This window comes from Homo sapiens, chromosome 11 (assembly GCF_000001405.40).
Source record: "Homo sapiens chromosome 11, GRCh38.p14 Primary Assembly".
Taxonomy (NCBI): domain Eukaryota; kingdom Metazoa; phylum Chordata; class Mammalia; order Primates; family Hominidae; genus Homo; species Homo sapiens.
The window spans coordinates 11,124,859-11,142,451 of record NC_000011.10 but is presented as its reverse complement, the minus strand read 5'-3'; the positions used below and the strand labels follow the sequence as shown (position 1 = coordinate 11,142,451).

General features: G+C 35.7%; 1 long non-coding RNA gene and 1 pseudogene across 2 annotated transcripts in view; both read right to left on the bottom strand.

Annotated features, from left to right (window-relative positions):
• Positions 1 to 17,593, bottom strand: part of LINC02752 (long intergenic non-protein coding RNA 2752) — a 68,227-nt gene that overhangs the window by 41,160 nt on the left and 9,474 nt on the right. The gene's annotated exons all lie outside the window — the stretch shown is intronic.
• On the bottom strand, positions 5,712 to 6,981 carry LOC100288365 (activating transcription factor 7 interacting protein 2 pseudogene; annotated as a pseudogene).

The following is a 17,593-nucleotide window of genomic DNA, read 5'->3' as shown; positions in this document are numbered from 1 at the left end:
CATTATTCACTGAATTTTCTCAGTCCATCCTGGCAAGTCCCATTTCCATCAGGCTCCATAAACCCTTCCCATTGCTCCTTGTCCCTCCCAGTCTGCTCAGTCTATAAATAAAGTCAGGATTTCATTAAACAACAACAATAATAGATACCTGGAATTAAACAACTATCATGTTGGCCACCATCACTTCCTATGAACCCGACATCATGTTCCATGTTTTGTATGTATTATTTCATTGAATCTTAACAACTGTGCATTTCATGTATGCAGAACCTGAAGTTTTGAGAAATTAAATAACTTGTCTATGGTTATTTTGCCTCTTCTTTCCCGGGGCTGGAATTTGAACCTAGGTCTTTCTGATGCCAATATAAGCACATTAGCCCACAGCTCCCCTGTATGTTGAGGGTTAGCAAGAGTGGGTCATAACTCTGCCTGTTAGAGAAATAATCTCAAGTATGATGGGAAAGAACATGTCACTGGAAGGGGTTATGATGAGCTGGACAATGTAAGGTCACTTAAGGATTAGGAAATTGAAAGAGTAACCTAAATCCACGGAGAATTTCCATGGGAAAAACATATAAATGAATTTAGTAGCAGTGCCCTGGGTGCCAGGCCAGCAGCTGTAAATAGCATTCCCCGAAGTCTAATTTCCCTGTAATGGCTCTTGGTGTTAAGAGTTGAGTGAACAATTGTAATAATAGGCAGGTTAATCTTCCCCATAATTTACACTTGGTGAACTGTGGAGCAGGAGGCAATAAGGGCTTTGCTGAAGCAGAGAAAATCCTGAGAAGGCATCTCAGCCTGTACTGTTCCTGGGAAAGGTGATTGTTTCCTTTGTGGCTCTGAGAGTACTGCAAAGAAAGCAGAGTACAAAGCTCTGTCGGGAATGATTGGTTGGGCCAATCCCACCCTTTCATTTTCAAGGCTTGCAGAGAGGCTTGGAGTGGGGTGTGATTGAAGCTATCAGTCACCTGTAGGCCTCTGCAAGCTTTGGAAACAGACTTGGGTTTGAAGGTTGGTCCTCCTGTGCAACCACAGTCAGGTTACTAGGACTAGAAGTTTCCAGGGCATAGTTCCCATTCTGCAAGCCTTTTGGTAAAGGAATTTATTAAGGAGACTAAAAACATGATCCAGTTAAGCATTTTTTTAATGTATTCTGGAAAAAAAAAATACTGGCTAAATTTAGGAGCTGGCTACAGGCCCTTAAAATGCCTGAGGATCAGGCTGAGTTTTTCCTTCTTATTTGTTTTGTTTCTAACAATAGCTAGGAGGCAACCTCATGGTGTAATGAACTTCATAGTTGGACAGAATGTGTTCAAATCCCATCTCCTCACCCAAGTTCTGAGAACTCTGCAAGACAGTTAAATCTCTCTGAGCCTCAGTTTCTTCGTTTGTAAAAAAAAAGGGACATTCATGTTTTGACTGTTCTTGAACAACTCTGGAAACCTGTGAAGTATACACTGGCTGACCAGTAAGTGCAAATTGTATGTAAGGAGGTTCTAAGAAGGTGAATCACCCACCTCCCAGTGCCCACATCTCCACCCAGTTCTGTTGTTCTCTGCTGAAACTCAAATATAGAGCTTAAATATCATCTTATTGTGAAATATAGCATATATACAGAAAGATAGATAAAGAAAAATGTACAGCAGAAATAGAATGTAGAGGGCAGTGATTTGTCACAAAGAAGCACCTGTGAGATCAATATCCAGGTGGAAGTCTAGGTCAGGGGTCAGCAAACTTTTTCTCTAGAGAACAGAAGAGTAAATATTTTACTTAGCTATTTGGTCCCTTCAGCAACTACCTAACTCTGCTATGTTAGTCTATTCAGGCAGCTGTAACAAAATACCATAAACTGTGTGGCCTATAAACAATAAAACTATACTTCTTACAGTTCTGGAGGCTGGGAAGTCCAAGATCAAAGTGCCAGCTGACTCAGATTCCATGTCTGGTAAGGGCCTGTTTCCTGGTTTCTGGCCTATAAGGTTCCCTCTCACTGTGTCCTCACATGGTAGAAGGGGCAAGCTAGCTTTCTGGGGCCCCTTTTATAAGGATACTAATTCCATTTATGAGAGCTCAACCCTCATGATCTCATCACTTCCCAAAGGCCTCCTAATATCATCACATTGGTGATTAGGTTTCAACATATGAATTTGGTAGGAAAGGCACAAACACTCAGGTCACAGCATCTGTATCTGCTGTTGCATTGTGAAGGCAGCCATAGACAATATTAAACAAATGTGCTTGCATTGTTCCAATAAAACTTTATTTACAAAAATAGGTACCAGACTATAATTTGCCAACTCCTGATTTAGATGATGATCAACACCCAGAAGCCACCTCATGTTTTCTCCTTAACAAGGGCAACATTATCCTGATTTTTATGGCAATTACTTCCATACTTTTCCTTATAGCTTTACTTCCTAAACATACATTGCTAAGCACTAGCTTTTTGCCTAGTTTTTGCACTTAATATAAATCAAGTCATACAGTATTTACTTTTTTGAATCTGGCTTTTTCACCAGACATAACTAGCATATGGCTCTAGATTATTCCACTTTACAAGTGATGCACACGCACATTGCTTCCAGTTTGGAGCCATGGTCAATACGCAGCTATGAATATTTTTATACAAATCTCATAGTACATGTGTACATGAATTTCCGTGGGTATAAATCTAAGAAGTTTTGGAAATTCCAAGAAATTTGGGATCATAGAGTATGTATATGTTCAACTTCAGAAGATTCTGACAACTCCTTTCCATATAAATCGTGTGAACTTGCTTATCCACCAGCAATGCATGATGCCAAGGAAACAACATAATTTTTCCTCAGCCCTTATAAATGTATTGTTGAGACAGACTCCTGTTACTAAAGACAGATTAACAAGAGAAAAAACAGACAAGTGTATAAATGCAAACAGCGTGCATCACATAAGAGAAACTTCAGTGAAAGGTACCTCAAAGCAGTGACTTGAAACTCTGGCTTATTTAACATCTTCAACAAAGAATAATAAATTTTAGAGAAGTGACAAGACAGAGCAAAGAAGTTTTAAGCTTCCAGAGGTAGCTATGAGTAGAATATGGGAATAAAGTAATGGAGTAAGGGTTATTTGTAGATTCCTCTGGTGCCATCTCTGAGCTAATAGCAGTCGTCTCCAGTAAAGGATAATTTATATCATGTCTTTAGGCAGTAGGGGCAGAGGAGAGAATAGAAAGAGCTCTTCCTCCCTTTGCTACTTCTTAATTGCCTTCAGTTCAAAAATATTTATTTCAAAGAGGTAGATTTTGGAATGATGCATTCTGGTTTCCTTCAGTGAGAAGAGTGCCAACTGTTGCACCTCTACTCCAGAGCTACACAGGACTTGGTATTACCAGACTTCTGTAGCTTATCCATTCTGGTGAGTACATTGGTAACTCATGGTTTTAATTTACGTTCCCCAATTAGTAATGGGCCCAACACCTTTCCATGTGTTCACTGGTCATTTAGATCTCTTCATTTGTGAAGTGCTTATTCAAGTTGTCTGCCAATGTTTTCTATTTGGCTGTTTGACTTTTCCTTATTGATTTTTAGAAGTTCTTTTTGTTTTCTGAGTATGAGCTCTTTGTTGACTATATGTGTAGCAAATCTTTTCTCCCATTGTTGGCTTACTTTTCATCAAGTCATTTGAAGAACAGAGAGATTCTTGGTTTCAAGGTGGTAAACATCTATTTTCCATCATAGTTAGCACTTTTTTAATATCCTGCCTAAAAAAAATCTTTTCATACCCCAAAGTTATGAAGATCTTCAGGTTTCTAAGTTGCATTTCTCTAGGATATTATTCATCTAATCTAAATCTAGTTTGTGTTATTAATAATATGCCATTAGTATCATCTTATTATTTTTAGTATTAGCAGAATCTCTAGCAAAGTTGACTTTTCATCCCTTACATTGGATATATAGGTGTCTTCTCCCTTTTCTTCTTTTTTCATGAAATCTTTTAATTTTTATAATTTATTTTTGTTATGCAGCCCAAAATGTCATCTTCTCATAAAATCTTGGTGGAGGTGCACCCCAGGGATGATTTGGCCTCAGTCAAGAGCTAATTTTGCAGTGAGCCAAGATCGCACCACTGCACTCCAGCCTAGGCGACTGAACAAGACTCCGTCTCAAAAAAACAGAACAAACAAACAAAAAAAAACCTGATTTTTCCTGTAGCTATGCTGACCGCAGCAGGTCACTAAAAGCTGATTGTCAATGGAGGAAACAGTGGCTGCTTGTATCCCAGGTCTTCTGATGGAAGCAGCAGTTCCACAATCACCAAAGGTATTGTTCACAACACACCTCAGCAACATGGGTCCATGAGAGCGTATGTTTTAGAACTTACCCATTGGAAGGATATATTTAATACATATCAGAAATTCATCAAATTACTGGCCACTAACAACATATAGAAGTAGACTGTTTCTATAGAAAGGGCTTACAATCTGAGCTGACCTTTTATAATGGCAAATAGTATTACAGTGATATTGTAAACAAACAACTCAAATATGGAAAAAATGTAGTACAATACATAATTATTGAAGACCTCTCTTTTAGGTAAGATTTTCAGAAAACCCAGGGACAGATTTGATATCACAGAATGGTCCATAGCATCCAAAAATATCTTTTGATTGGACAGAAAAATAATATTTGTTGGAAACTAAAAACTGAGATAAAGGGCAGGCCTTTGGGAGTGATAAAGCTTTAATTTCTCCAGTCTTCTTCCAAATCAACTTATTATTAGGGTTCTCATAACACAGGAAGAGGTGGTAGCTTTCTACAGGAGTGCACTGGGATTGATTTTGGTTATATTGCCAGTCAGGGCAATGCCCCTGGGTCTCAAAACCCATTTCACTTTGAGCTCAGGCTTGTGGTGAGGAAGTGTGTCTCAGATTTTATCTACTAATTCGGGTATTAGTGGTGGTGGTTCTGAGAGTGGTGGCAGGTGCTCAAAGGACTCAGGAACCTGGGCTGCATTTTGTGCCAATGAGGCTCTTTGAGTTTAAAACAGTTTTCAAAGGTACTCCAGGGTGGATACTGGACTTTCTGTATTGCAGTTGGATAGGCCTTCTTTTGTCAAATCAATTGTAGAATCAAGTTTCCTCTGTACAGCCATAACTTCAGCATTGGGAGAATTGCTGGAATTTCCTGATGTAATTTTTCCGATTATCTGTTGGATTTGATGTAACCGGAGTTGTCAAATTAGGACTTTTCACAGAAATCAACATAAGATCATCATTGTTACTTTCAGAACAGACTCATTTTGATCGGTGACAAACTAATTTTTTTACTTCCTTTTTCTGAAGGGTTAGAAGGCTCATAATTCACAGAAGACCTCTTTAAACTGGACTATTAACTGACTCCAGATTCTTTCTTTTCTTTATTTTTTTTTCTTTTTTTTTTTTTTTTTTTTTTGAGACAGAGTCTTGCTCTGTCACCCAGGCTGGAGTACAGTGCTGTGACCTCAGCTCACTGCAACCTCCACCTCCCAGGTTCAAGTGATTCCCCCGCCTCAGCCTCCCAAGTAGCTGGAATTACAGGCACCCACCATCATGCCTGGCTAATTTTCATGTTTTTAGTAGAGACAGGGTTTCACCATATTGGCCAGGCTGGTCTTGAACTCCTGACCTCAAGGGATCCTCCCGCCTTGGCCTCCCAAAGTGCTGGGATTACAGGCGTGAGCCACCGTGCCTGGCCCTAACTCCAGATTCTTATCCAAATTCATAATCTCTGAATTTGCAACCTTACAGGCTCCATTACTGGATAACATGTTTGGTTCCAAACAATAACTTTGAGAGAATAATACTGTGTTAATATGTCTTTGGAGTTTTGCTGTTTTGGCGAAGAGTTTATCAGCTATTCCTTCATGTTTATTCCTGCGCTCTATCTTCCCAGTGTGTTTGTTCAATTCTTTCAGTTTGTTGTCAAATAGTTCGTAATTTATACTATGATCAAATGTCTGACCTGTTCCAGGAATGCTGTTTGCCTTTCCAAACCTACACAAATATTTTCATTAATTTGCTCTGAAGTTTTCATGCATTTAATATTTTCTTTGTTTTCTGAAAACATCCTCTTTTTTTGATAATGGCTGTTGTTGTTATCAGTGTCAAGTGATGACTGCCAAGTTGAATCTGCACTTTCACAATTTGAAATGCTGGAAGGACAGGTTCTACTAGATTCTTCAGTTTTCAAAATGTCATCAGCACAGTTGTTACAAGTGCCTGAATTCACCAAGTTAGGTGTTTTCTCAACAGGCACAAAACCTAAGTCTTCTGAACTTAAAATGTTGTCACTTTTTCTTTGATAAAAGGCAAATGTGATTCCAAATTGGAGTTTGTTTCTAAATGGAAAACCATCTGGTCAGTTCTCTTATTATCCACAGTACTGGTTGCTGCAGACTTTGGCATCTGAACACCACCACTCAATAAACTTGGTGGACAGAAACTGGACTTTAGACTACAAGCCCCTTTCTGCTCAAAAAGGGATCCTGTTACATTCGTCTAATATTCAAAATGGTTTTCAGAACAGTTTTTGGAAGTGTTCAGTGAATCTTTTGCCTCTTGTATAAAGACTCTGCTTGGGGAATCTGTTGTTTTACTTGGCTTTTGATACGGACAAACAACCTGTTCCAATTTTGTTTCTGAATGAACGATTTCTTCTACTGGTTTTCTGCAATTCTGAGAGAATACTTTACTTTTCTCTAGTAACAAATTTTTATTAGAGTCCAATGAGGAAGCACCATTTTCAGAATGTCTACATTTGCTAGTTATGACACTAGGACTGAAATTCTGATTACCACTTGGAACATTACTCCCAGTTGCTGCTGCTTTCAGTGCTTCAACATGCCTTGACTTATTCAGAATCTGCACTTGCTTCCAGCAAGCTGGGGGCATTTTTTTTTTTTTTTTTTTTTTTGCTTTTAATGTCTTCCCTTTACTTCTATCCGGACTTGCCATCTTTCATATCCAGCAATGGATCCAAACCAAGAAGAAATCCCTGATTTACCGATATACACCCGTTCTTAAAACACACAAATCACTTCCAATAAGGCACTGGCTCATGTATTTCCATTGAAGCAGAAGTCAATCTTAGGATGTAGTCTGTACATGTCTGCAGATAAGATTCATAAGCGCTGAATTCAGTGTAATTAGTCCTTCATTCAGAGGCTTCATTGTTGCATTTTCAATTGCTTTCCTGTGATATAACTTATCTTTATCTTGAATGGCCTTCCCCATTAGTTTTGCAAATAGTTATGTCGCAGGTCATTTGCTGGCTAGAGCTGCGCCACTCCAGCCACCCGATCCCCATCTTTTCTTCTCAATCCCAATAGAGGTATACCAAGGATGTTTGTCTTTTAAAAGGACTAACTTTGGGTTTGTTGATACTCTCCATTGTATTTTTGTTTCATTAATTTATGCTTACATTTATCATTAATTTCCTTCTACTTTATTTTCTATTAATGTGCTGTTATTTTTCTAGCTTCTTGAGAAACGTGCCTGAGTCAATGCTTTTTTCAGTCTTTCTTCTTTACTGCACACACACACATGCCACACACACATATTTTGATATTTTTATTATTATTCAGCTTAAATATTCTACTGTCCTGTGTGACTTCTTTGACTTATGGGTTATGCTGAAATATATTTCTAAATTTTTAAACATATGAAAAACGTATAATTATGTCTTCGTTATTGATTTCAGGTTTAATTGTATAATTGACAGGGAACATTCTCTGTATGATTTCAGTTCTCTGAAATTTGTTGAGATTTGTTTTATGACCCTGCATAAGGTCAATTAGAATATAATTATTTCATGTATACTTGAAAAGAAAAAAATGCATACTCTTAATTTGTTGGGTGGAGTATTTAAAAATATTTATGAGGTCATTTGCTAATTATGCTATTTAAATGTCTCTATTCCCTTTTTTGCCTGTCAAATATCAAGACCAATGTGTTAAAAAAATCTTCCAATACAAGTGTGGATTTGCTTACTTCTCTTCATGGCTGTGTCAATCTTTATACATTTTGAAGGTGTATTATTAAGTGCATAAACATTTTAAATTTATTTTTCAGTTGAATATTTTATAATTCTGAAATGTCCCTGTTTATCTCTAGTCATGGTTTTTTGCCATGAATTCTGCTTTGTCTGGCAAAAATATAACTATATAAACTTTTTTATCATTAATGTTTAGATAATAAAATTTTGTCCATTCTTTTACTTTCAAACTTTCTGTGTTTTAATATTTTTCTCTATGTCAAGGTTTGAATACTGAATAATGACCTGCTGTGTCCGATCTGCAGTTAAGCCTGTGCATTGAGATCTAAATCTCAAATACTGTAATTTGGGGTTCTAGAATGTCCTATCTAGACATTGTATCTAGATCTATGGGGAGATACTTTGAGACCATCAAAATATCCTGCTCCTCATCAGATTTTCTCCTTCAATTTCACATATATTGATGATTTATACCTGATCCAGTCTTTATCATGTTGGTTATAAAATAGTGATTTTTCCACTTCTACTACTTCCTCCACATTTACCAGTTGGCATTCTACTGTAAGAAATATTTGCAGCATATATCAACTGAGCACCCCCCTTCTCATCTATCTATCTGTCTATTATCTACCTGTCTATCACCTATCTCTTACCTAAACTCATCCCTATTTAAATGGGTTATAATATATAATTATATATATGTATAAAACATAATTATATGTCCCTATTGTTCTGATGCTCAAACTGTCCCAGATTTGATCCAGTCAGTGACCTTTCAAGGTGGTTTCTTTATCTTTGTAACACACTCTCCTCATTTTATTTGTTTTTGAGTACTTTCTTGTTTTCTGGCATTAAAAAAAAAGAATGTTCCAGATCTATCTTGTACCTTCCCTGAGAAATGAGCCATTTCTCTAACGATCCCTGGTTTCTTTTTAACGATTTCCCTTTAATGACTTTGGCACTAGGTATACTCATTGCTACTGGAATGTCACTATTTTTATGTCTTTTCATTGTAGAGCTAAGGAATATCTTATAAATAAGAAATCCTGAGTTCATACTGGCATTTACAGTTCCCATCCAGCTCCACAGAGTTCTTCCCCACGTTCCCTTATTTAATGTTGAGACCTCTCTCTTCCACATTTAGAATCCTAGCTCCCACAAACACCAAGCCATTTACTCAATCACTCAGTCCTACAGTGCATTTAAAATAGTTTCAAAATAGCTTTACTTGCACCGCCAAAAGGAAGCTTTCTGAAAAATAGTTCAAAATTTGTAGTTATTTTCTCTAAACTGAGGATATATAGTAGAGTCAAAGAGCTGTGTTCAGAAGTTATTTGGACCAGAGTTTTTCCCCGCCTACAATGTGGTTACATTATTAATTTGAAATACAGCTGAATTTCTATGTCTGCTTGCATTTAGTTTTAGTTAATTTCTCTGTTCCTGATTATTTTATTTTGCTTTTTGGGTTATGTAGAACATTAACATGATTCCAAAAGTCAAAACTATGCAAAAAGGCATGTAGAAAGAAGTAGCAATATTTGCCCTGCCCCTTCAATCCCATTCCTTTTATATTTGTAAGTAACTTCTTTTACTGTTTTCGCCCTTCATTTCTTTTGGCAGAAGTAAGCAAATACACATATGTTTTATTGTTTCCCTTTATTTGTTACACAAAAGATGGCATTCTGTACATACACTTTTGCAGTATGCTTTTGGCCACTTAAAAATATATTCTGAAAATTACTCCACATCAGTTCATGGAGATAATCTTCATTCTTTTTTTTTTTTAAACAGCTGCAAGATACTCCATTGTATGTAGGTGCTATATTTTGTTTTCAACCAATCTCCTATATGTAAACATCTAAGCAATTTCCAATATTTTGCATTCACACAAAAATGCAGCAGTGAAAAACTTTATGCACATTGTTGGCATAAAGTAAATTCTTAGAAACGGGGTTACTAAGCCTAAGGCTTAGCGAAAATGTAGCTGTATCAGATATTTTCAAATTCCCCTTTACAGAGATTACACCATTTTTTTCATTCCCACCGGCAATACATGAGACTCCATATTTCCCTGCAACCTCATCTACTACACATATTTTCAAGCTTTTGAATTTTTGCCAATCTGATGGCTAAAACATAGTATCTTAGTTTAGTTTAAATTTTCATTTGGGTGAAGTTTTGTATTTCGTATATTTAAGAGCTATTTTAATATTTTTTATAAATTGTTTGCTCATGTCTTTTGTCACTTTACTACCATTTTTGTCACTTTTCCCTCTCAATCAAAAACAATTCTTTATATATTAGGGATATCAACCTGCATCTGTAATATATATTGCAAGTATTTTCTCCCAATTTGTCATTTGCATTTTGAGTTACTTACGGTATTCTTTGCTATTAAAAAATGTTTTTAAAAATTGTTTCCTGCCTGGCGCGGTGGCTCACGCCTGTAATCCCAGCACTTTGGGAGGCCAAGGCAGGCAGATCACGAGGTCAGGAGATCAAGACCATCCTGGCTAACATGGTGAAACCCCGTCTCTACTAAAAATACAAAAAATTAGCCGGGCGTGGTGGCAGGCGCCTGTAGCCCCAGCTACTCAGGAGGCTGAGGCAGGAGAATGGTGTGAACCTGGGAGGCGGAGCTTGCAGTGAGCCGAGATTGTGCCACTGCACTCCAGCCTGGGTGACTCCTTCTCAAAAAAAAAAAAAAAATTGTTTTCTGTAGTCAAACTTAACAATCTTTTTTGTTTGCATCTGGATTTTAAGTTACAATTTGAAAATATTCCCTCCACTCAGGATATACAGGAATTCATTCACCCATGTTTTCTTCAAGTACTTGTATAGTTTAATTTTGCATATTTTGATACCTAATTCATTTTGCATTTATTCTTGTGTATGGTATAAGGGAAGGATATAAATTTATATTTTACAAATGGCTATTTTTCCATATCATTTATTAAAAAGCAATTATTTGCCCCAGTGATTTGATATACTACTTGTATTATATACATGGTTTCTTGACTTTCTCTTCCATTCCAATAGTCTTTCTGTGTATTAATGTGCCAGTACCACATCATTTTAGTTAGAGGATTTGTAGTATGTTTAATAAGTGATAAGGCTAGTTCCATCTCAGAGCTCTTGCTTTTCAGTATTATTCCTAGTTATTCTTGTATCTTAATTTTTCCAGGCACTTTAGCTCCAGGACAAAAAAGTTTCTTGGTATTTTATTTTGATTACAATAGGTTTATAAATTAAATTAGGAAGAACTGACATCTTGATGATGTTGAGATGTCCTAACCGAGAACAAGGGGTGCCTTTTTCAGAGGATGTCTAGAGAGATTTGGACTCTGTCATCCACTACTATTTTTTAGACCCAGAGGCTTTTGTCATAGTTTGCATTATTGAATCATCAAAGTTTAAATGTTAATTGGTAATTTTTTTACTCTCTTCCTGATCAATACAAGGAACTTAGAGTACTTTAATGCAATTTTCTCACCATTTTACTTTTAATTTTATGTATCTTTCAAACACAATAAGACTTTATTTTTGTCATTTTATATAGTCGATATCCGTGTAGACTTAGCTATGTTATTTACCCTTTTCATTGTTCTTCATTCCTCTTTGGGTCTTCAATCTTCTGTCTGCAATTATTTTCCTTTGTCTGATGAATGTACTTTAGAATTCCCTTTAATTCCTTTTAAGGGTCTACAAGTAACTAATTGTCTCAGTTTTGTTTCTCTGAAAGTGCCTTTATAATATCTTCATTTCTGAGGAATATTTTTACTGGGTATAGAATTCTAGATTGGCAGTTATTTTTTTCAGCATTTTAAATGTAAATTACATTGCCTTCTAATTTCCATTGTTTCTCTTGAGAAATCAACAGTCTAGTTGTTGCATCGTTGAGAATAATCTGCATTGTTTCCTCTGCTTTCATAATTTTTTCAATTTGCTTAAGAGTTTCAGCTGTTTGTTATGATGTGCTTCTCTTTTTGTGCATTTCTTTTTGTCTATTCTATTTGGAGTTTTTAGATATTCTTGTAGCTTGAGATCTTTCATCAGTTTTTAAAAGTTCTCAACTATTACGTCTTCTTGTTTCTGTTTTACTTTTTCTTCTCTCCTTCTGAGACTTCAGTGATATGTTTAGACTATCTCATTGTGCTCTCCATGTTTCTTACCCTCTATGAACTATTTTCTTGCCTTTTGTCTCTCCTGCCTCATTCTTAATATTTTTCTCTAAGCTATACTCAACTTACTAGTTCTCTCTTCAGCTGTGTCTAGTCAACTAGTAAACTCAACCACTAAAATATTTATTTTAGTTATTGTATTTTGACTTCCAGAATCCCCATTTGGTTTCTTTTTAGAGCTTCCAGATATCTGCCAACATTCTCAACCTTTTCTATTACTCTCTTGGGCATGATAATCATAGTTATTTTAAAAGTTTACCAGATAACTTCAATATCTGGACCCCCTGTGAAATTATGCCTGTTTATAAGTTGTTTCTGCAATTGCAGAAAGACTAAAGGACTGCGTATTTCTTTTGCTTTTACAGTAGATCTCTTCTTGCTGGCTTAAATAAAGCATTTACAGGAGTCAGGCAGGTAAATAGAAATTAAAGTGATAAGAAAAGGTGAGGGACTGTGGCTAATTGGGGAATGCATGTCTCACCCAAAGGCCCTCAAATTAAAAAAACTGTAAACATTTTCAGGTCAAACAAAATGCATCTATGAACTGAATTTGCTTTCCCAGTGCCACTAATTTGTAGTCCCGAAACTACAAATTAATGTATTCCTGTCCTTTACTCCAAATATGAGAGTCTAGGAAAATAAACTACCTGGTAGTTGCATTCATTTACTCCTAGTAGAGGATAGAACCTAAGGAATTATTGTGAAGTCTTAATAGCCAATGTTTATAAAGTCCATGTATGCTAAGAATTCCTCTGAAGACCATATATATATATTCCTTACCACAGTATTATGAATAAATTTTTTATTATATGTCTTATGGATGAGGAAACTGAAGTACAAAGAGATTAACTGAATTCAGACCCCAGCACTCTGTCTCTAGTACTTGGTATTTGCCACTACACAGTGCTGAGTCAGGATACATGGGGAAAGAGGGCCTAAAGTTCTGAAAGTTGAAAGTCTTGACTGAGTTCCACCTGATTCAGTAACTGTGAAATTCACAAAGAAGCAGAAAGAAATGTGCTATTTTTACTGGGGGAAAATAAATAATTAAAAAAGTGCATGCCACCGGAGAATGAGATCAGCTTTAAGATACCTGTACCATTTCAGCCCCATAGGAGATAGTGTATTTGTTCACACACCAAGCACATTGCTACTACAACCAGCATATGAGAAAGCTATCATACAAAGACTCTCTCTAACCAGGAAACTCTTAACGGAGTCTTCACCCATGAAAGCACCAAGAACTGAATTAGGTTATAATTAACTATAAGCATTAAAGTCTCATCCTTAAGAAGAAAAAAGAAATTTAAAAACAAATAAAAGAAATACAGTCAAATCAAACATAAATTCAAGAATAGTTAGAAGAAATAATCTACTCAAATGAGAAGGAACCAGAAAATTAACTCTGGTAATATGACAAAACAGAGTGCTATAATACTCCCCCAAAAAAATCACACTAGCTCTCCAGCAACGGACCCTGGCCAAGATGAAATCTTTAAAATAACCTATAGAAGGTCAATTGTTAAGCTACTTGAGGAGATATCAGAGAAAGGTGAAAACTATCATAAACAAATTAAGACGCAGCTCAGGATATAAATGAAAAATTTTCTAGAGAGATAGATATCATCAAGAAAAACCAATCAAACTTCTGGAAATGAAAGACAGACTGAGGGAATTACAAAATGCGGTGGAAAGTTTTAACAAAAGACTAGAATAAGTAGAAGAAAGAATTTCAGAGCTCAATGATGGGCTTTTGAATTAACCCTATCAGACAAAAATAAAGAAAAAATAATCAAAAGAAATGAACAAAGTCTCCAAGAAATATGGGATAATGTAAAAATGCCAAACCTAAGAATAATTGATGTTCCTGAGGGAGAAAATAACAGGTCTGGAAAATTTGTTTCAGGAAATAATTGAGGAAAACTTCCCTGGCCTGGCTAGAGATCTAGATATCCAAATCTAAGAAGCTCAAAGAACCCCTGGGAAATTCATTGCAAAAAGACCTTTACCAAGGCATAGAGTCATCAGGCTATCTAAAGTCAGCATGAAGGGAAGAATTCTAAGAGCAGTTTTTGTAGGTTACCTGATGCTTTTATTGTACTGCTCTTTGAAGTTAGAGCAGCAGACCTCTCAGCAAAAACCTTACAAGCCAGAAGGGACTGGGGTCCTATTTTTAACCTCCTTAAACAGAAAAAAACTGTAAGCCAAGAATTTCATATCCTGCAAATCTAAGTTTCATAAGTGAAGGAGAAATAAAGTCATTTTCAGACAAACAAATGTTGAGGGAATTTGTCACTACCAAACTAGCACTCTAAGAAATGCTAAAAGGAGTTCTAAACCTTGAGACAAAGCCTGATATGCACCAAAATAGAACCTCTTGAAAGCTTAAAACTCACAGGGCCTAAAATACAATAACACAATGAAAAACAAAACTAGGTAGTAATTAATATGATAAAGAGAACCATACCTCGCATCTCAATATTCACATTGAGCGTAAATGGCCTAAACACTCCACTTAAAAGATACAGAATGGCAGAGTGAATAAAAAATTGCAATCCAAATATCTGCTATCTTCAAGAGATTCACCTAACACAGAAGGATTCATATCAACTCAAGGTAAAAGGGTGGAAAAAAGTATTCCACATAAATGGAAACCAAAAACAAGCAGGAGTAGCTATTCTTCTATCAGACAAAACAGACTTCAAAACAACAACGGTGAAAAAAAAGACAAAGATGGTCACTATATAATGATAAAGGGATCAATTTAACAAAAAGATATTACAATCCTAAATGTATATGCACCAAACACTGGAGCTCGTATATTGATAAAACAATTACTACTAGACCTAAGAAATGAGATAAACAGCAAAACAATAATATGGGAGACCTCAATACACCAGTGACAGCACTAAACAGATCTTTGAGACAGAAAGTCAACAGAAAACAATGGACTGAAATGACACATTAGAACAAATGGGCTTAATGAATATTTACAGAACACTCTACCTAAGATCTGTAGAATATATATTTTTCTGATCAGCACATGAAACGTTCTCCAAGACAGAACATATGATAGGCCATAAAACAAGTCTCAATAAATTTTTTAAAAATCAGAATTATCTCCAGTATCTTTTCAGATCACAGTGGAATAAAACTGGAAACCAACTTCAAAAGGAACCCTTAAAACTATATAAATACATGAAAATTAAATAATCTGCTCCTGAATGATATCTAGATTAACAATAAAATCAAGATGAAAATTTTAAAAAAATTTTAAATGAATGATAATAATGAGATGTTATTAAAACCTCTGAGATACAGCAAAAGCAGTGCTAAGAAGAAAGCTTATAGTGCTTAATGCCTATATCAAAAAGTCTGAAAGAGTACAAATTGACAACCTGTTGTAACACCTCAAGGAACTGGAGAAACAAGAACAAACTAAACCTGAAGCTAGAAGAAGAAAAGAAATAAAAATTAGAGCAGAACTAAACAAAATTTAAACAAAAAAAATTCAAAAGATTAATGAAACAAAAAGCTGGTTCTTTGAAAAAATAAATAAAATCAATAGACCACTAGCTAGGTTGACCAAGAAAAGAAGACAGAAGATCCAAATAAGCTCAATTAGAAATGAAACTGGAGACATTGCAACTGATACCACAGAGATACAAAAGATCGTTCGAGACTACTATGAACATCTTTATGTGCACAAACTAAAAAACCTAGAGGAAATGGACAAATTCCTGGGAACATACAACCCTCCTAGATTAAATCTGGAAGAAACAGAAACCTTGAATAGACCAATTACAAGCAGCGAGATTGAATCAGTAATTTTAAAATTGCCAACAAAAAAAAGCCTAGGACAGTTGGATTCACAGGTGAATTCTACCAGACATTCAAAGAAGAAGTAGTACCAATTCTACTGAAACTATTCCAGAAATTTCTATTGAGCAAGAAATAATTCTCCCTAAATCATTCTATGAAGCTAGTATCACCCTGATACCAAAATTAGGAAAGGACACAACAAAAGAAGAAAACTACAAACCAATTTCCCTGATAAATGCAAAAATCCTCAACAAAATATTAGCCAACTGAATCCAACAACACATCAAAAAGATAATTCATCATGATCAAATGCATTTTATCCCAGGGATGCAGAGATGGTTTAACATACACAAGTCAATAAATGTGATACATCTCACAAACAGAATTAAAAACAAAAACTATATGATCATCTCAATAGATACAGAAAAAGCATTCAGCAAAATCCAGCACATTTTTACGATAAAAACTCTCAACAAACTATGCATAGGAAGGATTTACCTCGAAATTTAAAAAGCCATATATGACAAACCCACAGCCAACATCATACTAAATCAGTTAAAGTTGAAAGCATTCCTCCTGAGAACAGGAACAAGACAAGGGTGTCCACTTTCACTACTCTTATTCAACAGAGTTCTGAAAGTCCTAGCCAGAGCAATTAGGCAAGAGAAAGAAGTAAAGGGCATCTGAATTGAAAAAGAGGAAATCAAACTATTGCTGTTTGCAGATTATACAACTGTATACCTAAAAAATCCTAAAGACTCCTCCAAAGGACTCTCAGATTTGATAAATGAATTCAGGAAAGTCTCAGGTTACAAAATCAATGTACTCAAAACAGTAGCACTGCTATATACCAATAACAACCAAGCCGAGACTCAAATCAAGAACTCAATCCCTTTTACAACAGCTGCAAGAAAAATAAAATACCTAGGAATATACTTAACCAAAGAGGTGAAAGATCTCTATGAGAACTGCAGAACACTGCTCAAAGAAATCATAGATGACACAAACAAGTGGAAACACATCTCATGCTCATGGATTGGAAGAATCAATATTGTGAAAATGACTCTACTGCCCAAAGCAATCTATAGATTCAATGCAATTCCCATCAAAATACCAACATCGTTTTTCACAGAATTAGAAAAAATAATTCTAAAATTCATGTAGAACCAAAAAGAGCCCAAATAGCCAAAGCAATCCTAAGCAAAAAGAACAAACCTGGAGGCATCACATTACTGGACTTCAAATTATACTAAAAGGCTATAGTTACAAAAACAACAGAGTACTGGCATAAAAGTAGGCACATAGACCAATGGAACAGAATATAGAACTGAGAAATAAAGCCAAATACATACAGCCAACTGATCTTTGACAGAGCATTAAAAATTATAAATTGGGGGATGGATACCCTGTTTAATAAATGATACTGGGAAAGCTGGCAAGCCACAGGTAGAAGAATGAAACTGGATCCCTATCTCTCACCATATACAAAAATCAACACAAGATGGATCAAAGACGTAAATATAAGACCTGAAATCATAAAAATTCTACAAGACAACATTGGAAAAACTCTTTTAGACATCG